This window comes from Homo sapiens, chromosome 14, assembly GCF_000001405.40.
Source record: "Homo sapiens chromosome 14, GRCh38.p14 Primary Assembly".
Taxonomy (NCBI): Eukaryota; Metazoa; Chordata; class Mammalia; order Primates; family Hominidae; genus Homo; species Homo sapiens.
In genome coordinates, this window is record NC_000014.9 from 46,064,532 (window position 1) to 46,088,377 (window position 23,846).

At 32.6% G+C, this 23,846-nt stretch overlaps 1 long non-coding RNA gene across 2 annotated transcripts in view; it reads left to right on the plus strand.

Moving 5' to 3' along the window:
* Nucleotides 1–23,846, plus strand: part of LINC00871 (long intergenic non-protein coding RNA 871) — a 437,745-nt gene that overhangs the window by 373 nt on the left and 413,526 nt on the right. The gene's annotated exons all lie outside the window — the stretch shown is intronic.

Sequence of the window (23,846 nt, forward strand, 5' to 3'; positions counted from 1 at the left end):
CTGTATATTTCATTTCAATTCCCCACTCTCCCTCCCAACCCCTGGCAATTATTGCTCTTTTTATTGTCTCCACAGTTTTGCCTTTTTCAGAATGTCCTATAGTTAGAATCATATGGTATGTAGACTTTCCAGATTGGGTTCTTGTACTTGGTAACATTGTTGTAAAGTGGAAGCAAATTTTATTTAAAGATGTGTGATATTGGGAGACAGGCTTATTGTTTTATGATGCAGCTATTAATATAATCCAACTTATATTATACTTATAATCCAATTTATATTTGGAATAACAGAGATGATGTTCCCCATATCTTAAGAAACTACCTTCAGACTGTCCAGCAGAGAACAGGAGTCTTTGTCAAATAAATAAGCTTTTCTTTTTTTTTTTCCTGTCTCTATATAGAGAACACATAAAGGAGTGACCACTACTTTATGTGCTATAAATAGCATTCCCATTTATAATTGGCTAATCACAGAAATTAGGCCCCATAGCACTGAAGAGGATCTGTTGCTGGGAAGGAAGATGTTATTTCCTTTGACTTCATGAATGGATGCTGTGACCTCATGCAGTAACTCAGGCTGCTAAAGAGGACGTATCAGTTTACAGTCCCACCAACAGTGCAAAAGTGTTCCTATTTCTCCACATCCTCTCCAGCATCTGTTGTTTCCTGACTTTTTAATGATTGCCATTCTAACTGGTGTGAGATAGTATCTCATTGTGGTTTTGATTTGCATTTCTCTGATGGCCAGTGATGATGAGCATTTTTTCATGTGTCTTTTGGCTGCATAAATGTCTTCTTTTGAGAAGTGTCTGTTCATATCCTTGGTCCACTTTTCGATGGGGTTGTTTGTTTTATTCTTGTAAATTTGTTGGAGTTCATTGTAGATTCTGGATATTAGCCCTTTGTCAGATGAGTAGGTTGCGAAAATTTTCTCCCATTCTGCAGGTTGCCTGTTCACTCTGATGGTAGTTTCTTTTGCTGTGCAGAAGCTCTTTAGTTTAATGAGATCCCATTTGTCAATTTTGGCTTTTGTTGCCATTGCTTTTGGTGTTTTAGACATGAAGTCCTTGCCCAAGCCTATGTCCTGAATGGTATCGCCTAGGTTTTCTTCTAGGGTTTTTGTGGTTTTAGGTCTAACATTTAAGTCTTTAATCCATCTTGAATTAATTTTTGTGTAAGGTGTAAGGAAGGGATCCAGTTTCAGCTTTCCACATATGGCTAGCCAGTTTTCCCAGCACCATTTATTAAATAGGGAATCCTTTCCCCATTGCTTGTTTCCCTCAGGTTTGTCAAAGATCAGATAGTTGTAGATATGCGGCATTATTTCTGAGGGCTCTGTTCTGTTCCATTGGTCTATATCTCTGTTTTGGTACCAGTACCATGGTGTTTTGGTTACTGTAGCCTTGTAGTATAGTTTGAAGTCAGGTAGCGTGATGCCTCCAGCTTTGTTCTTTTGGCTTAGGATTGACATGGTGATGCAGGCTCTTTTTTGGTTCCATATGAACTTGAAAGTAGTTTCTTCCAATTCTGTGAAGAAAGTCATTGGTAGCTTGATGGGGATGGCATTGAATCTAGTTCAACCATTGTGGAAGTCAGTGTGGCAATTCCTCAGGGATCTAGAACTAGAAATACCATTTGACCCAGCCATCCCATTACTGGGTATATACCCAAAGGATTATAAATCATGCTGCTATAAAGACACATGCACATGTATGTTAATAGTGGCACTATTCACAATAGCAAAGACTTGGAACCAACCTAAACGTCCAAAAACGATAGACTGGATTAAGAAAATGTGGCACATATACACCATGGAATACTACGCAGCCATAAAAAATGATGAGTTCATGTCCTTTTTAGGGACATGGATGTAACTGGAAACCATCATTCTCAGGAAACTATTGCAAGGACAAAAAACCAAACACCGCATGTTCTCACTCACAGGTGGGAATTGAACAATGAGAACACATGGACACAGGAAGGGGAACATGACACTCCGGGGACTGTTGTGGGTTGGGGGAGGGGGGAGGGATAGCATTAGGAGATATACCTAATGCTAAATGATGAGTTAATGGGTGCAGCACACCAACATTGCACATGTATACATATGTAACAAACCTGCACGTTGTGCACATGCACCCTAAAACTTAAAGTATAATAATAATAAAATTTTTTTTAAAAAAGAGGGCGTATCAGTTACATCACTATATTCCTTAAAGGTGGTGCCCGTAATGGGACAAAAGTGATAGTTAGACACGCTCTAAGTAATGAGTGTAGTGGAATAATACCTATCTAGATGCTATACTTCTGATAATGACTTTATGACAGAAGAAGATTTGAGGAGTTGTTCAACGAGTATGAAATTTCAGTTCTGCAACATGCGTAAGTTATAGAGATCTGATGGATGACTTTGTGCCTTAATTAATCATGCTGTATTGTACAGTTAAAAGTTTGGTAAGAGGGTAGATCTCATGTTAACTGTTCTTACCACAAAACAAAGAAAAAACATAAACACTGAAGGAGATTCAAATCACCTTTTTTTTCCAGCTTTGTCCCATTGTGATTTTATATTGCACACAAATATAATCAAATATTGTGCTATTTCTTCCAGTTGGTATTGGTGGCTTAAATATACAGCTGCTAAATATTTCCGTCATGTGTATTATTGTAGAAATAATTTTCAACTCAGGCATTTATATATAATTACAAGAATTTCAATTAATCTACAATTATGCATGATGTTATTATTACAAGCATGTACACTCACTGGTTTCATTTTTATTACAATATAGCAATTATTTTGTGCAGTGTCAATATGATTTTGCTTTCTCATCATGACATGTATTATATTTCTTTGTTGAAAAATTAAAATTAAAATCTAACTAGAAAATGTGGGGACATTCTGAAAATAACAATAACTTATTATTTTCCCTACGTATTTCTTCTTTTTGGCTTCATGAGGATGAAAATATGGCTAAATGTATACTATTCCTAGCAGCAACACGGAAAATAAAAGGGTACTTGTCTTTTCAATTTTAACCTTTTAATAATGTATGTGTTTTTGTATTTATTATTGTTTCAAACTGTGTTATATTTTTAAATGTTTAGCTACTTCCTAAGTTCTCAAGGGGGAGCTTCATAAGTAGTTGAACAATTTGTATTATTTTATTGTATGAGGGATTTACTTTAGTCTCAGAAAAACAGACAAGTGATTTGTCCCAATTTACATTCAATCCAGTAACAACTCATTGAGCCTCCATTCTATCGTGTAGATGCTAACTGTCAAATACAAAGTCTAATAAGACAAGACCTTTGCTTGTGTGGTAGTCATAGGTTATTTTAATCTCAGTCTTTAAAGTAAATTCTAAATTCCGTGAGATCTCATTAGAAGTTTAGTTATTTTAAGGGGATCCTAAGTTATTTACTGCTATGTTTGAATTGCCTTGAGGTAATTCAACGTGAAAGTCCTAAAGGATTAAAACAAATCTTTAAGAATTTGACCTAAGTAGTGGTAGAAGACATTTACTGGGTATCCACTGTGCGCTGGGTGCTGTTATAGGGATTGTACACAAATCGTCTCTATTTAAAAGAACCTGTATCTTGTTGAAGTTCTTGTACACATTATACTTTCCTTATGGTGCTTGATAGAAAGCTGTCCTCATGTGGTTGGGGTCTAGTCACCCATCTGTGAACATCGCTCACTGATGTCATATTTAGCCAAATAAAGGTTATCCTCATAATCACATTGCCCCTGAATCTAAGTGTCCCTTTGAAGCTGTATACAAAGTTTTGATTTTTGTTGCCAGTATGTTATATGCAAAATACAAATCTGATCAGGCATTTAACTTGCTTAAAACATATCTGTTGCCTTTAGTTGAAATCCCATAACACTATTACAACATTCTCCATGATAAGACTTCTTTTGAAATCACCATTCTCATCTCCTGAAATTCCCTCTTCATTTGCTGCAGCCATCTTGGGCTTTTTAAATTTCATTTGATGTAGCAGCAGTCTCTTATCTCTACTACTTTGAGCATAGTTTCCTCATACAAATATACTCTTGTCTATCTTTTCACCACGTAAACTTTTTATACTTATGTTCTTTTCCTCAACAAGAACTTCTCAAGTCCCCTAGAAGGTATATTAGAGTATTCCATGTTCCCGTAGTTATCTTCTATAATATTTATAAACATTCATTAATTTGTTTAGTGTATTAAGTTTCTTTTAGGCTTTGTTTCCTGTGACAATTCTATCTCAAGGTTGAATATATTGAGATTGGATATACTATACCCTATCTTTTTATTTATTGAAATACTTGTATAAGGAAAATTATTGATTGTTTTAAACAACTTCAAGTATTCAAGATTTGAGGAATCTCTGTCTGCAAAGAATGGCTCAGCCTTGTAATCTCAGCTCTTAGCTTCAAGATTTGTCTTTTCTTTGGGGATCACTCACTAATTTCACGCCAAGAAAGACATATTAAGTAATCTGCCAAAATCCATGTCCTCTTCTGGTGTCAGTTAAGAGATAAGCTCTAACTATAAGAGAATTGTGAGAAGAGGAGTGGTTGGACTTCATAGTCCACTAATTGGTAAAAGCTGAATTCACATATTTCCCTTCATAATCTCTCGCTAATTACCTTGGGGTTTGAGAACTGGGAGAATTTAAATTTTATTCACATAGTTGTTTTCCATAGTAGCTATTTATGAGAAATCTGCTATATTTTTATAAAAATAAATTTATTCTGTACCCTGCTGCAAAGCTTTAGTGTATTAAGTGTACAATAGGACAACTTTGAGCCAAGAACTTCATATAAAAGAACAACATATAAAATTGTCTTAAAACGTCAACTCATTGAGTGTGTGTGTGTGCAGTCCCTTAATTGCATCTACAGAACTACTATATTAATAGACATATCTAGGAGATATTTAGCTGTCATGTAGCCCAGGAATGGTGAATTTCAGGTGCAGATGTCACCACTGACCCATCCCATGACTAAGGCAGATGTTTCTAATACATCACATTCTTACCTTCTGACCTTGAAGGTCAAATAGCCTGTGATTAATTTTGCAACATAGGCATCATGCAGCCACTTCCATTTATTCAGAATTGACCTATAAAGAAAAACCTATTTGCCATCTTTAATTAGTAAAACCTCCCACAATTTACGTAAGGTTAAACAATATCATGTCAGTGTTAACTTACTTTGTCAAAATCAGACATATAGGAAGGTAGCTGGGTTAGAGATAGGAATCTCTCTGTTGTTCTTACTTCTCTTGCAGTCAATTCTACATTTTCCCATTCCCTTGGCAAGATTTTTCTCAAATGTTAGTGTTTTAGGAAGATAGTGTGACTCACTTTGAAAAATGAGATTTTACAAATATTTTTGAAGGTATTTTGTGTATACACACACACACGTATAACTAAAATATTAATAAATTGGCCAGCTCATAAAAAAGACAATTCAAAACAATAAGGTTGGATATCACTTTCTCCTATTTCATGTAGAGTATATGTATTAATTTTAGTACATTCTGGGTAATACTTTTTAAGGGGTATAAGGACTTCTCTAGCTCAGTGTCCTTGCTAAATGATGATCAAGAAAATACATTAACAAATTACAACATAATCTCTTTTGTCCTCATCTGTTAACTTTTCCTGAGTAAGAAAACCTGCTCTATAAATGTGTTGTTCCAATATTAATTTGCTGAATTTGATTAGACTTGTAATAATAGGGTCAGACATAGGAAAGAGGATGAAATTTTGAGGAAATGGTTTGTTCTTGTAAAGATCTGAACTTTAAAGCATTGAAAGCTTTTCATCTTACAAAGTGATTCTAAGCCTAAACAATACATTTTCTATTTCATTTCTTAAAGGCTTTGGCAGAAATTTAAAGACTTACAGTTCTCACTGAACTTTACCTTGACCTTTAAATATAATGTCCTAATGTAAATAACCTTGAGAACATAAATATCTTGACATCTTAATGCTCTGACATTCTATTCGCATTGTCTGATTTTATTTTCTTCTGTTCCACTGATGCTTGAGCATAATTACAAGTACTGCCTTAGAAAGGCATTATTCAAAATGCGCAAAAGGCTATTTTGCATTAGGGAATTAAAAACCCATTCACTTTGGAAAATAAGAAACTGACTTTGAATTTAAAATAATTTCCCCAAAGCTACCATCACATTTAAGAGAAAGATTTCTATAGGGCATGTTTGGCAAATTCTCACATAAAATAGCTACAGAATCACCAGGCTACAACTATTTGCTAGTGCATTCAGTAATATAACAGTTTAGTATAAACTTTATTTAAACTTATACAAGGAATGAAAGATGTGGATTTTGAGCATTCACAAGGGAACAGTACCACATTAATGATTTGATGGATAGCTTGACTATCAGCTCTCAAAATAATCATGTTTTGTAAATGGAGTTCATAAAGAACTCAGTAATTCTGTGATGTAGTAATGCATACAGAAAAACTAATACAGTGAGCACTGGCATATAAACTTATTTTCTGCAGTGTTACTCAGAAACACACTATGCTATTTGGAAAATTATAATATTTTACAAAAGCAGCACACCCTCTTCATAAAGGTTTTCTTAGCAGCCATGCATTTTATATCTTTAGTTCTCTGGTTTTATTTTCAGTCAGATAAATATTAAGATTTTTATGAGTTCCCAATTGCAGTAGTCTCCTAAAGCAGTTTCATAAAATAACCTTTATTATAGCCATGTAATTAAATTATCTTAAGACAGTAGTATAGAATATATTCCAAAATTTTTAGAAAAATTACTTGAATGAAAGTGCTCAGTGTACTTAATGTCTTTATGTTTTTTAGATTCATGACTAGGGTAATATGAAATAATTCCCATCTCTCTCTCATGGGACCAGAACAGTGTTTGCCTTGAAGGCATCATGGAGTCAGAAAGAAAGAAGTTGTTCTAGGACCTGCTCTTACTTCCTTAAACCTCTCAAGCTAGTTTATTAAGTTGAATTAGCTGCATATTTTTTTCAAAAAGGAAAAGATTAACAGACTAGTAGTAATTAGGAGATGATCTGACATTTAAACCAGGTAACTACTTTAACTGTTTTAATAAATGTGTTACATTTGTAACCTGAGTGAAGTTACATTGTATTCTCAAAAATATTTTTATGAATAATCTAGAAATTATTTGTTGAATGGAATATAACTAGTTTACTTCTAAGAGAAAACATGCTATTGTAGTAAGAGATATGTAAGCCATAGATTAGCACTGTTTGTGCTGTAAGAGATGAAAAATTAATTTGAGAATGAAATATAGTTGGGTTTAATTCTGGTTCCACCACTTACTAAATGTGAAATTCTGCGTAATCTAAATTTTCTTTCTAAATCTGTGTTGTTATATCTGTAATTTGGATTAATACTACATTTAATGGGTTATTTATATAAATGTGTTATGATAACCTGGTATCTTATTGTCTCTTTGGAGACAGCATTTGGTAAGTGTAATTCTTGTTGCCATTGCTGCTATTATTATCATACAATCATGTTGAATTACTAAATTCTTTCATTGTCACGTATTACCACTATAATGAAATTTGGACTTCCTTAATTTTGTATTACTACACATATGTACCACATACAATATATATTGTATACATATTATCATGTGTATAGTGGTCCATGTCCTATGAATGTATAAACAAGATAAGAAAGATCTTTATGAGAAGTGCATAGGTAATGAATAAAAAAGTGATAGTGAAGTTAAACTCAATGATAATCATGGCATTAACCTTCTTAACATTTCATTGGCTCCTGATTATCTACAAATAAATCTCAAATATCATTACAGAGCCTGGACATCCTTTCCACATGGTCCTACACTGTCTGTATATTCGCATATTTCTTTACTCAAATCTTTAATTATTCAGATGCTCATTTAATAATTGCACAAATGTTTTCTGATGGTCTAGTATGTGTCAGACACTAAGTTTTGGGACAAAATCAATGAGTAACACAGAATTGCAGTTATAACTTATTGTGCGGTCTCATAGAAGTTGACCTGCAGACAGATAAATGATGACACAAAATGATGTTATAGCAAAGTCATAAACAAACTTATGTAGAAATGTTAATAATTAAATTTACAAAGATAGTGTGTATACAGTTAAGACTGACAGTTTAGTTTGATGTTCAGTGGTAATTCAAAGATTTTCGGGTAGGAAAATGAGGGAGTATGCAAGAGTGGAGGCTGGAAAGGTAAAATGGTTCTGTTACATTGATTTATAGTGGGAAAAAATTGGAGGCTACACAGATGTCCAGTGTCTGGATACTTCATTACATAAATAGATGAAAAGGGCCTCTACAAACATTAATAATGCATTTGAGAAATAACAATGTACATTTTTGTTAAAAATCCTTTGTAAAAAGGAATTGGTAGATTCAGACAATGTGGAAATGTGTCTCAAATAAAAAGCCAGCATCATTCACAATGGTGAAACATTAGACTTCCCATTAAAATAAGGACTTAAAAATAGATGACTGTTATTTCTACTGTCATTTAACATTATTTCAAAATTCCTATGCCATGCAATTAGTTCATAGAACAGAATGAGAATTATAATCACTGGGAAGGAGAAGCAAATTTTAATTATTTCTGGATGGTATGATTTATACTTGTTACCCTGAGAGTAAATTGAAAAATATATGAGAAACATTAAAATAATTCAATCAAGGGAATGGGCATGTGATTTCTATTAAAAACCTTAATAACATAATAATCAGTTAAAATATAATAAAATGTATCATTCGTAATAGCAATAAAATACTTGCCACAAAACCCACAAAGGAAAACTAGAAAGGGAAATAATAATACATTTAATTACATAAAAGTTCTAACTTTCATTTGTGAAAAACACCAACAACAAAATGAAGATAAAAGCAAAATATCAATGGTGGGACTGGGACACCAAGGGTAATAGTAAGGGATAAATGTTCTTAACCTTTAAATCACTGTGAAAAAGGCAAGTAGTCAAATAGAAAAAGGAGAAAGATATATTAAAGCAGAGGTCTTGACCAGATGCAGTGGCTCACGCCTGTACACCCAGAACCTTGGTAGGCCAAAGCTAGAGGATCATTTGGCCCAGGAGTTTGAGACCAGACAGGGCAACAAACTCAGACCCATCTCTAAAGACATAAGAAATTATCCAGGTGTGGCGGCACATGCCTGTGGTCTCAGCTATGTGGGAGGCTGAGTCAGGAGAATCGCTTGAGCCCTAGAGATCAAGGCTGCAGTGAACCAACATCATGGCTCTGTACCCCAGCCTGTGCAACAAAGCAAGAGCCTGTCTCAAAAAAAAAAAAAAAAAAAAGAGACATCCCCAGAGGAAAAATAATCAATGACCAAAAATCTTAATATGCTAAACCTAACTCATAATTAAATGCATATATATTAGGACAATATAATACCATTTAGACTTGTAAGATTAGCATACTTTTTTTAAGTGATAGTACTCAAGAATGGCAAGGGAAGGTAAAAATTTGGAGGGAAATTTGGCAGCATTCATCCAAATTTCATATGTACACAGTCTGATCTTGTAAGTTTGAATCTAGTGATTTAGTTTAGAGATACATTCAAGAGTACAACTATGTACATAAAAATATTCATCAGGAGCCACATAGACTAGGGGTAAGACTGTTGTCTCAGATCCAGATTGCCTAAATGGGAGTTTCAGCTGTGTAACCTCAGTTGCGTTATTTGACCTCTCTGAGGCAGTTTCCTCATTCATAAAATGAGAAAAACAATCATATGTACAACATATGTTTGCTGTAAGGATTAAAAAGAACATCGGGATACTGAATAAAAATGACTTAGAAAAACAATCTAAAGAGAAAAATTATAAATTTGACTAATAAAATTAAATTTCTCTGTGGATCAAAAGAAACCGTAAAGAGAGTAGAAAGGAAAGCCTTGAATGTTGAGAAGACAAAAAATTCGTATTGTGTAAATTAACAACAACAAAAAAGACAACCTGAATAGAACTGGGTCAAAATCATTGTGTAATTATCTTCTGCTTCTTCATCCTGTACCTGCTGTATACTTCCCTTCATTCTCCATACCACTGCTGTCTCACCCAGGGAGCCGACTTGTGGTATTACATCAGTAGGATTTCCATGGCCTCCATCTTCATATGGATTTTAGCTAAGGAAGAACTGAAGATAGTAGGGAGGGAAAAAAGTATTTATTCCTTTGGTTTCTTCTCTGGAAAGGTTACTTCAGGTTGTATTTTTCTGATGATGGAAGGTCACTGCATTTTCCAAGGTTGCCAAAATTACAAAGCTCCTTTTCTGAAACTCCTATTAGGTAGAATTGAAACTTTTTGATATTTTTCTCATTTCTTAACTTTGTTGTATGGTATTAATGTAATATTCAGGGATATATTATCAAGTTGAACTTCAAAGACACTTTAACTGTGCCCATTCTGCTATTAAAAATCTAAGGAGATTTTTAGTTCAATAATTATATATATTTTAATATTTATAACGTTGTAGCTGATTTTTTTCATACATTTTTCCTGCTTTGTAACACTATACTTTATCATGAACATACTCCCTTGTTTGTCTTTGTGCATATACTAAACATACTTATATTGCATTACTGTTATAATTACTCTATCAAGTCTCTTTCTTTAGGTGTAAGTTCTGCATGTTGTATTCGTTGGGTCTCTGTCAATGTCTTGGCTTTCCTAAAAGTTATTGATGATTATTGATTATGACTTTAATATTCTGTGGCAAAATTCTTGAGGATGCATCTAAAGATCACTGTGGTGCCTTCTGTCTGCTTTCTAATTTTAGATATTTCTTATGCTTCTTTCTTTTTTGTTCAGCTATCTTTTCTTTTTTCTATTTTATAATCCAACTTTTAGATTCTGGGGTACAGGTGCAGGTTGGTTACATGGGTATATTTCATGAAGCTGACATTTAGGGTATGAATGATCCTTTCACCCAGGTAAGAGCATGGTACCCAATATGTAGTTTTTCAGCTCTTGGCCCCCTCCACCCTACTACTACTTTCCCTTCTAGTAGTCCCCAGGGTCTATTTTTCTCATCTTTATGTCCATATATATCCATTGCTTAGCTCCCACTTATAAGTGAGAACATGTGGTATTTGGTTTTCTGTAACTATGTTAATTTGCTTAGGATAACGACCTCCAGCTGCATTCATGTTGCTGCAAAAGACATGATTTCATTTTTTCTGGCTGTATAGTATTCTGTTGTGTATATGTGCCACATTTTCTTTATCTAATCTACCATCAATGAACACCTAGCTTGATTCTATGTCTTTGCTATTGTGAATAGTGCAGTGATGAATGTACAGTTGCATGTGCCTTTTTTGTAGAACAATTTATTTTCCTTTGAATATATATCTAGTAATGGGATTGCTGGATCAGGGTTCTCCTCCTGGTTTATAAGCATGTTATAAATTTAATAATTAAAGAGATAGATTTTCTATAAGCCTTCATTGGAAGTTTTTAAACTGTATTTTTTATTGTTTTTATATCTAAATGTCAGATAAGGAGAGGTTTCTGTTCTTATTTTGTTATTTTACACATGATTAGGTTTTGACTTGTTATTTAATTTTTTCTCTAAAGTTTTATCTGATTTGCATTATGGTTATAGTATGTGTTCTGTACTATTTTTGATTTTTGAAATTTATTGAGATATTCTTTGTGGACTAAATAATTTTTAATAAATGAAAAGCAATATAATTATTTTATTAATACATGATTTGAAAATTCCACAAGTACTATTTCATAGTAATTAAAATGATAGCCAAGTAATTAGATTAATTTTAAGTTCTCACATAAGCAATATTTTTCAGTAATAATCCCAATGTTATATTTACATTGCATTAATATGGCAATGATATAAAAATACATAGATGCTTTTTGGAAATTCAGTATTTTGTCTTTCATAGCTATCTCATAATGTTTTGGTGGCTACCATAACCATTGTTCTTAAAAAACATTTGTAAAACTAATCTCTAGAGGCAAGACCTAAACAGTAAGAAGGTGAAACTGTTTATAGAGTGCTAGTTGATAAATAATGTTAAAATATGACTGGCGTAAATAGAATTTGGTCCTATTTCTTGTGATATAAATAATGCCTTTGAGAGAAAATAAAACAAAAATCCCTCTACTGTCAAACATTTTTGTGCTACATAAATGTTTAAAATATATTGGTTTTAAGTAGACTAAGACTATTAGATTTCTTGGAATACACACATCTTTATTAAAAATACTTTATGGCTTTTTTGAGGATATTACATATTAAAATAGATTTCGCTGTGAAGTTTTACCCTCAGAAACAATATTGTTATCAAGTTAATTTTTGAATAGTAATTAAGGGGACTCAATGGCTGAAGTATTTACAACCATATTCAATCATATTTTCTCTATTGAAATTTCGATAAAATTGGGCTTCTGTGTATAATGGAGGCAAATATAAGTTTATTGTTCACTCTAAATTGGACCTATGTACTGCCCAGTTAGATAAAACTTAATCCGTGTCTGGGATTAGCAATTGTTTCATTGATCAGTGTCCATCTTTCTAAGGGTTGTGAATAAAATTAACAAGAATTTAAATCTTAGCTGGTGTTAGCAAAATTTGGTTGAGGAAAATAATTGATGTTTCTCCAAAATTTCACTTCTAAAATAAAAATTTATCAAAGTTGAAATCATAGAAATTTTTACTTGTATATTTATTTAAATTCTTATTGCACTGACTATAATTTGAATCTGAAATTTATTCCTGTTGACTTTGAATTGTATTTTTATGGATTTATTTTCCTTGACATTTTTTGTCAAGTAATCTGCTACTATATTCTGTCTCTCTGTTCAGAAATTCCTTCAGTTATCTATTCAAATACCTTGTATGTTTACCAAATTTTTTTTTGTCACGTACAAAATTTTTCTTAGGCACAGTTCTTTCACGAAATAGGGATTTTTCTTTTTAATTAATTAATTTATTTATTGAGACAGGGTCTCACTCTGTCACCCAAACTGGAGTAGAGTGGTGTGGTCACAGCACAGCATGACTCTGAACTCCTAGACTCAAGTGATCCTCCTACATCAGTGTCCCAAGTATCTGAGAGTACAGGCACATGCCACCACACCTGGCTAATTTTTGTATTTTTTATAGAGATGAGGTCTCTCTATAAAGACTCTCCTCTCAGGAGGAGTCTTGAGCTCCTGGACTCAAGTGATCCTCCCTCATCAGCCTCCCAAAGTGTTGGGATTAGAGACATGAACCACTATGCCTGATCTGCAATGTTTTCTTTACATAATTTCAAGCCAGTTTGAAATTGCAAAAATAATCATTAAAATTCTAAACATTCTTACCAAACTCAATATTCAATTATATTTTGGTCAACTTGTATTATTTTTAGAATTCTGTCTCTCTCTACATAACCCCCCCACTGCCGCCACATACATACACATCCCTTAATATTGTTATATCTTTTCCTGGAATACTTACAAGTAAATTGAAGACATAGTGCCCTTTTACTATTAAATACATAAGTATAATTTCCTAAGAAGAATATTCTTACATAGTCACAGTATACATTTTAAATAAGCCATTATGTATTGATATCCTAGTATTATCTAATCCACATTTCATATTCAAATTTTGTCATGTCAGTTTATTTAATGCCCTGGTCCAGGATCCAATCCAGGATCAAGCATCACATTTAGTTGTTATGACTCTTAAATACTGTTATTGGAGGCTTTCTTTGTCTTTCTTGACTGACATTTTGAAAAGTTCTGGCAAGAATTTTCCTCAATTTGGGTTTATCTGAGTTTCTCTATGATTAGATTCTGATTATGAATTTTTGTCAAGAATCCCACAGATGTGATATTCTGCCTCCCTCAATGTACTCCATCTGGAAGCACATGATGCCAGTTTATTCCAGTATTAGTAATGTTAACTTTGGTAATTTGATTAAGATCTTTAAAATGTAATATGGAAGTAGAAATTTTGAGACTCTATAAATATCATATTACTCATCAAACTTTTACTTACTATTATAGTATCTATTAATCCTTCTTCTAACTCTTTAATTCCTTCTACATTTACTAGTTGCCATTCTACTCTATAGAATAAATTTTCCTTCTCCTTCCTCTATTTATTTATTTATTTAACTTCATGGTATCATGGACTCTTATTTATTCAATGGATAACATAGTCCATGGCTATAATTATTTGTTTTCATACTCAAATTATTCCAGATTTGGCAAATGGGCGCACATTCAAGCTGCTTCTCTATGTCCTTTTGATAGGGTTGCATCACTGTTAGACTTAAGATATGTTGCAGGCTCATCTTCTACTTTTCCAATTCTAGCCTTGAAATCAGCTATTTTGCCAAAGGAGACCTGCTTCATGTTTAAAGATAATGGTTCTTTGAAACGAAGGTTTGGGCATTATCTGTGCTAATTGATACTGGTGTGTCATTGCTTTCAGGCCCCATTAGTGAAATAAACCAAGATCTATGAACTATGCATGTTTGTTTTAACTGCCGTGTCTTTGCTCTTAGAACTACTCAGTGGACATAACCATATTTCTGTGTGGATGTGAATGTGTGCACACACATATCTATTTTTTTCTCTCTTCATGAGTAGATAGATATATACATACATATATACACACATACATAATACATAAATATATGGATTGATATTGACATTTCCTACCTCATTTCAACCACACAGAGTAAATTCTAGTCGGCCCAGTTTTCATATCTGTAACTCCCTTCTCAAGCAATGAGAAACCTGGCCCACATTATCATCAATGTTTTCACTTATTCAAGCCTAGAATACATAAAAAATACTTCCAGAATTGCTAACCCACAAAACTGCAAAAAGTAAACTTACTATCTACAGTTTACTATATTTACATATTTTTTAAGTTCATGGAAATTCACAAATTCTTACGTAATTAATTGCATGGTAAATGCACATATCTGTGTAACCCATCTAATATCAAAATATAGTACATATCCTGGCCGGGTGCGGTTGCTCACGCCTGTAATCCCAGCATTTTGGGAGGCCGAGGCAGGTGGATCGCTTGAGGCCAGGAGTTTGAGACAAGCCTGGCCAACATGGCAAAACCTCATCTCTACTAAAAATACAAAAATTAGCAGGGCGTGGTGGTGCGTGCCTGTAGTCCCGGCTACTTAGGAGGCTGAAGCATGAGAATCGCTGGAACCCATGAGGCAGAGGTTGCAGTGAGCCAAGATTGTGCCACTGCACTCCAGTCTGGGCAACAGAGCAAGACTCTGTTGCAAGACAGCAGATAGACAGGTAGATAGATGATAGATAGATGGATATCAATATATAGATAGATGATAGATATATAGATAGATAGATATACAAATAGTACATTTCCATCACCTGAGTTACATCTCTTGTGCCCCTTCCTACTCCACCGAGAAACACTTTTCTGATTTTTTAAATCATAGTTCAGTCTTGCCTGTTTTATAACTTTATAAACCCCATCGTATCTCCTCTTTTGCATCTGATTTCTTTCACTCAGCCTAAATCTTAGAGATTTATACATGTACTATGTGCTCAAATATCAGTTCCTTTTTTTCTCTCATAAAAATCTGTTGTATCATTGTATGAATATAACAAAATTTATCTTTTCTTTTGTAGATTTGGCTTGTTTTTGCAATTTGGATCTATTTTCAGTACAAGTACATTCTCCTATAAGTCTGTACACCTATTTTACGTTTAAAACTATACACCTATTTTACTTATGTTTTTATTTTTCTTAGGTAAATACTTATAACTGGAATTGCTAGGTCACAGGGTATGTATGCAATGGACAGTGTAAAAAATAGTATGACAATAAGCTGGGCATGGTGGCTTATCCCTCTTATCCCAACATTTGGGAGGCCAATACAAGAAGTTCACTTGAGGATAGGAGTCTCAGACCAACCTGGGCAACGCAGTGAGACCCCATCTCTATAAAATACAAAAATAAGATAAAAATAAAAAAACTGAAAATATTTTTTCTAAGGGATTGTATTATTGTGTACTCCTACTAACAAAGTATGAGTTTATGTTGCTCCACATTCTTGCCAACATTTGGTATTGTTAGACTTAAAATTTTACCAAGAGAAACAAATTTCTGTTGTTTATAAGCTACCCAGTTTATGGTATTTTGTTATAGTAGCCTAAATTGACTGAGACTGTATTGTTTTTTGTTTCTTTTCTACCTTAAGACAGCAAGGACATTCTTCAGTGTTTTCTTTGAAAAGCTTTATACTTTTACTTTTTATGTTTATTTTTATGATTCTTGTACATTTTTTTTCAAAGTTTTGAGGTAGAATTTTTTTCAAATAGATATTTTATTATTCCAGCATTATTTGTTGAAAAGATTTTCTTTTCCCCATTGAATTGCCTTTATGCCTTTGTTGAAAATCAGGTGACTGAATATGGATGGATATATTTCCGGATGTATTATTCTGTCCAATCGATCTTCCTGTCCTCATGCTAATACCACATTGTATGCACCACTGAAGCTTTACAGGGAGTTTTAAAATCAGGTAGCTATAAATATTTTTCTTCTCAAAAATCCTTTGGACATTGTAGGTCCTTTGCATTTTCAAATACATTTTAGGGTCAACTTGTTAATTTCTACAAAGAAAGCCTCCTGAAATTTTGAGTGAGATTAGGTTGAACCTATCAGTTTATTTGGGAGGAATATGCATTATAATTCTTCCAAAACATGAGCATAGATCATTTGTTTAACTATTCTTTAAGAGCATTCAGAAATATTATCTATTTTTTACAGTTGAAGCTGTGTAGATATTTTTGATAAATTATCCACCGGAGTTTTATGTTTCTCCCGTTATTGTAAACCTATTATTTTTAAATGTTATTTTTCACTGTCTGCTGCTAGTATATAGATATACAATTGATTTTATATATTAACCATTTATTCTTGAATTTGATAAATTGAGTTAGTAGTTCTCGTAATTTATTTATTATTATTTTATGCATAAGGCACAATTTTTGAATATTTTTATGTGTTTTATTTCTACTTGCCTTTTGACCCCGGGCTGAACATCCAGTACAATGTTTAGTAGAAGTATTAAATACACATGTCCTTACCATGTTACCATTTTAGAAGAAGAATTCAGCATTTCCCCAGTAAGTATGATGCTAATTGTAGGTTTTTCACACATACCTTTTTATTAGATTGAGGAATTTTTTTCCCTCTCTTCTTAGTGTGCTGAGAGGGCTCTTTAAAATCATGAATGGGTTTTAACTTTTATCAAATATTATTTTCTTATGCATTGAGGTATTCATGTTTTTTTCCTTTATTCTATTAATAAAGTGAATTATATTGATTTTCAAATTTTAATTTTAATACTGAGATAAACCTCATTTGGTCATAATGTATAAACTTTTGATTTATTGGAGTAGGCAGAATAAAACTCCAAGGATGGCCACATCCTAATCTTCAAAACCTGTAAAACTTTACATGGTAAAAGGGACTTTGCATATGTGATTGATTCCATTACGAATTTTGAGATAGGGAGATTATTCTGGATCATCTAAGTGGACCCAGTATAAACACAGGGCCCTTATAAGAGGGAGGTAGGAGGATCAAATTCAGAGAGGAGACGTGACCAAGGATACAGAAATTGGTGTGATGTAGGGTGCCACAATTCAAGGAAAACAGCCTCTAGAAGCTACAAAATAGAAGAAAATGAATTCTCCTTTGCAGCTTCTAAAAAGAATGCAATTCTGCTGAAAACCCACTTTGAATTTCTGAACTCCAGAACTGTAAGATAATATTCAATCTGTGTTGTTTTAAGTTGCTGAGATTTTAGCAATTTGTTATAATTTTTGCAATTATACCCATACTCATAAGGGATATTGTTCTGTACACTTTTTTAGGTTTTAGTATTAAGGTTATGATGACTCACTAAGCAAATTTGGAACGTTTTTTCTTTATTACCTGAAAAAGTTGGTATAAAATAGGTATTATTTCTTTCTTTTTTTTTTTTCTTTCTTCAATGTTTGCTAAAGTCTTTTTTGGCCTGGATTTTACTTTGTGGGAAGATTTTAAAAAATAATTTATTCAATACAGTGGTTTTCCAACTTTATCAGCTTTAGAGCTCAATACAACACAGATCAACAAGCTTTGCTCCTAAAGTTTCTGATTCAGTAGATCTGGGTTAAGGCCTGAGAATTTGTCTTTCTGCCATATTCTCAGGTGATGCTGCTGCTGCTAATCCAGCAATAATATTTTAAGAATCACTGCTTTACAAATACAGGGATTTTTAGTAAATTATATTTTTCAAAGTTCTTTCCTGATGGTTGTCTAATGTATTGGCTAAAGTAGATGGAAATATGTCCTTATTACTTTTAATAGAATCCATAGTGATATCATATTTAAATTCTTGATAATGATAATTTTCATTTCTTCCATATGTCTTTAGTTTTTCTAGTACATTATCGATTTTATTGTTCTATTTAAAGAGTCAACTTCTAGCCTTGTTGATTTTCTCTATTTTTCTCAGGTTTCTCTTACATTGATTTCTGTTCTTACCATCATAATTTCATCTTGTACTTAATTTGGACTTTCTTTACTTTTTTTTTTTTTTTTTTTTTTTTTTTGCTTCTTAAGATGTAAGCCTAGAGTATTCACTTCAGACCTTTCCTCTTTTCTAATATAAATATTTAAAGCTGTATATTTCCTCTAAGCACTAGTTTGGCAGCATCACTCAAGTCTTGATACGTTGTATTTTCATTATCTTTATGTTAGAAATAATATTTGATCCATGTTTCTTAGTCTGTTTCTGCTGTTATAACAAAATAGCACAAACTGGGTAATTTATAAACAACAGAAATGTATTTCTTATAATACTGAAGCCTGGAAAGTCTAAGATCAGGTTGCTGGCAGGATCAGTGTCTAGTGAGGGTTCAGTCTCTGCTTCCCAAATGGCGCCTTGTTGCTGTGTCACCTGGAAGTGACAAACTCTGTCTTCACATGGTGAAAGGGATGGAAGGGTAAATGGGTCCTAGCTAGTTCCCTGCAGCTTTTTAAAAACGGTCACAATCCCACTCATGAGGGCTTCACCCTCGTGATTTAATCACCTCCTAGGGGCACTACTTCTTAATACTGTTGAATTGGGAGTTAAGCTTTAATATTCTAGACAGAACACAAACATTCAAACCATAGTACATGTGTTAGTTACAAAGGCTTTGTTTAATTTGCAAATATTTTGACTTCTTCTGTCTATTGTACTTTTATTGATTTCTACTTTAACTTGGTTGTCAGAGAACAAATCAAGTAAAATTTCAATCTTTAAAATTGATTGGGAGTATCTTGTGTTACAGCAAATAGTTTATCTTGATGAATGTTGCATGGACACATGAAAAAATAAGTATTTACAGTTATATTTAATGTGCTACACATGTCATTTATAGCAAGGTAATGTTCAGATATTCTATATCATTATTAATGTTTTGTTTATTTGATGAATCAGTGAAAGAGGGCATTAAAGTGTCCATATTTGTGAATTTATCTATTAGTCTTTCATATTCTTTTAATTTGTTTGTCATATGTATTTGGAAACTGCATTAATCATGTATATATTCATGTATATATTCATGACTGCTGCATCTTATGAATTTACCTCATTATTCTTATATCTCATTTTATCTTTGCAGAAACTCCTTGCAGTAAAGTGTCGTTTATTTGATATTAATATGTCAACTCCAGCTTTCTTATACTTGCTGTTCACATGGTATATAATTTTCCACACTTTTACTTTCAACCTATACCCAGTATTATATTTAATACACATCTATATTGCACAGCATATACTTAGGTTTTGTTATTTGATCCAGTGTAGAAATCTGTCTTTTAATTGAAGTGTTTAATCCACTTACATGTAAAACATTTATTAACTTTATTGGGTTTACCATTTGCTCTCTCTCTTTCTTTCTTTGTTTCTCCCACTCACTAATTTTTCCTCTGTTCCTCCTACTGTGTATTCTGTTGAGTTAAATGCTTTTTCTTGAGTACTCCATATTTATTTCATTTACTTTAGCTATGCCTCTTTATATTATATATATTTATAATAGGAATATAACTAAATATATAATATATTTGTAATATAAATATAAATATGTAATATATTTATAATATAAATATAACTAATATATATTATAACTATATAACATATGTAATATATAACATATAACATATATAATATATAACATATATAATATAAATATATCATATATTTATGTTTAGTTATATTTATATTAATATTAATGTATATTTAGTTATATTTATATTACAATTTATTATATTGTATATATAATATATATTTATATTACAAAGATATAATGTATATAGTTATATTATAAACATAAAGAGACAGCTAAAATATAACTAAACATATATATTTTTAAATATAAATTTATATATATAAAATATATATTTAGTGTTCCCTCTAGGGATTGTAATATTCTCAATTTGTCACAGTCTAATTGAAAGTTAATCTTGTATTACTTCAGGTAAGCTATAAGAATCTTAACAACAGTATAGTTTCATATGCAATCTAAACTCTGTGCTATTTTTATCACATATGTTATATCTACATACACTATAAACTTTACAATATAGTGGTATATACGTATGTGTCTGTTATGTCTTGTAAAAGAAATTAAATATGTATGTATGTATGTATATACTCTTTTATTTTTATTAACATATTTATCATTTCTGATTTTTTTATTCCTATAAATTCAGGTTAGTATCTAGCATCATTTCCTTTCAGCCAGAACAAACGTTAAAATTTCTCTCAGTGCAGGTCAGCTAGCAACAAATTACCTCAGTTTTATCTCAAATGTCTTTATTTATTCATCTGAAGCTGTCCTTACTCGAACTCCTTTTTTAAAGACAATTTTTGCTGCACATAAAATTCTAGGTTGGGCACATTTTATTTCAACACAATTAATATATATTTTATTGTGGTTTGGATTATATTTTTACATTTAATCAGCCATCACTTATGTTTATCTATGTGTAATGTGTACTTATTTGTATGTTTGCTTTGAAGGATTTTTGTTTGTATTTAACCTTAATAGTTTAATTCTGTTGCACTTAAGTATGATGTTCTTTGATTACCCTGCTTGAGGCTTGCTGAGCTACTTGATCTACTTGATTCACAAGTTTATGTTTTTACTGCATTTTAGAAGGTTTGAGCCATTTTTTTCTTCCAAATATTTCTGCCTTTTATACTCTTTTCCTTCTCTCATAAACCCCAAGTTTCCTTAAAATAGACTACTTTATATTGTGCCCTCAGTGACTGAAACTCTTATCATTTATTTTCAATCATTGTCTCACTGTTTTACAAGTTGGATAATTTCTATTGAGCCATCTTTTTAAGTTCATTTATTTTTTTCTTTTGTCACTTTCCATCTGCTGTTAGGCTTATAGAGTAATTTTTTTTTTTTTTTCTTGAGATGAAGTCTCCACCTGTCACCTAGGCTGGAGTGCAATGGCGCCATCTCAGCTCACTGCAACCTTTGAGTCCTGAGTTCAAGTGTTTCTCCTGCCTCAGCCTCCCGAGTAGGTGGGATTACAGGCACGTGCCACCACGCCAGGCTATTTTTTGTATTTTTAGTAGAGATAGGGTTTCACCATGTTGGCCAGGCTGAACTTGAACTCCTGACCTCAGGTCATCTGCCCACCTTGGCCTCCCGAAGGGCTAGGATGACAGACATGAGCCACTGCACCCGGCCCTAAATTTTTCGTTTCAGATATTGTACTGGAAAAATTCTAGAATTTGAAATTTATTATACAGTTTTATGTTCTTGTTGAAATGTCCCATCTGTTCATTCATTATGATTATATTTTTTCTTAAGTTCTTAAACATATTTAAATAGCTACGTTAAAGCTTTTGTCTGCAAACTACAATATCTGACTCATCTCATGATTATTTTTAATTTCCTTCTTTTCTCTTGAATGTGAGTCACATGTTTTTTTGGTTTCTTAGTATTTTTTGTAATTTTTGAGGGTTTGTTGGACATTGTTGATGAAAGATTGCAGAGAATATGAATTGTGCTATTCTTTTTAAAATTTGTTCTTGTAGGCAGTGAAACCACTAGCAGCTTGTTTTTTTTCTGGTTGTCTGGCTTGTTCTTATTCTTTGATAGGATGGATCTATTACTGTTTCAAATTTAGTCCTAGTGGAGATCCTTACTCTAGGACATGATTCTTTCCTAAAGGTTGGCATTCACTGGTCTCAACTGAATGCCTGAGATGCTCAGTGAAGTCTCTCAACTACAGGTAGACTGGAATGTTGATATCTTCCAGAACTGCTTGATCTCTGGTATCTCTAGTTTTATTTGTGTATATGCACCCTTCCTTCAGAAAAGCACCCACAGTGATTACTCCATGAAGTGTTATGGGACATGCACTCTTGTTTTCTTAAATAGACTTGTCTGTCAATTCCATTCACCTCGGCAAAACTGGAACTCCTATCTTGGATACCTCATCTTATCAATGCCTGTGCTGAGCTCGGGCTTCACTTCCTTGCTTCTTAGCAGAAAAGTACCCCGAGGCAGAAGGTCAGGGTGATCAAGGAACAATCAAGCGATTGCTGTTTTTATGTTTTTCTTCTTTCAAGTGTAATAATCCTATGCTGTTTGTTATTTGAAACAACAGTGCTTGACTTCCTATGTTTTTTCCAGTTTTATAATTTTTTGCTTCTTATAGTAGAGAAAATTCAGTATTAACTCTTCTGTTGGTTGAAAGTAAAATTTAAGTAAGAATATTTAAGCAATTTATAAAAAGGGTCACTGATTATTTGGTAATATAAAAGCAGTGTCTTTGGATGTAACATATTTTAAATATATGTCTATTGACAAGAGAACACTAAACATCCCTAATTCCAATGTAAGCAGATTAAGGAAAAAAAGGAATAATTTACTACAACTCTGATTCATTGAATCAAAATTTAAAAGTACTAAACTAAAATGTTCCTTGATGTTTTTATTTCTTTCTTTATTAGTTAGGAGCTACACAGCTATTGCATGTGTTTCAGTTTAGGTAAAGTAGGAAATGCTGTCATACATTTTGTTTCATTTAGCCAGCAGCATGTTTCAAGCAGAAAAGGTATATAATGCCACCTTGTCTACACAGAATCACTCGGATTATATGTATGCAAAAAGAGTTCCCCAGGTTTGTATTACTGTTACAAACTTTGATTTATTCAGTGATATTAGTGCTTAAGCACTAATGCATTCCATTTGCAAAATACTGCCATTTAAACCTTCAAATGGATATTCCATGTATCCATCAAACCATTAGTGACGTTATTTTCCTTTACCACTTTTGCATGTGGGCTGTAACCCTTCAAATATGTGCCATTTGAATTACATTAGAATACTTATGGGTGGGTTATTAAAATTTATGCTCTTTTTTAATAGGTAGTGTATTAGCTTAGATTTATTTATAACTAATAATTGTAAATCCTTTGTTGGATTAATTTATTTCTAATTGGTGAATTATAATTACTGACCTTTTTAAATAAAGAAAACTAAAGAAGCAGTATGATTAATCAGTTAACTGATGTCTTCTGTGGAACCCAAAAGGCAATTTTAATACTTTGCTCTTAAGATATGTGGATAGAATATTAGCAATTGTGGGGACTCACGGTCTTTTGAATGAATGACATGTGAAGATTAGATTCCCTTACTGGTTTTGATGTCTGTCAAAAGAACACTGAGAAAAAAAGGTAACTTACAGCTTTTTGTCTGCTGCCTCC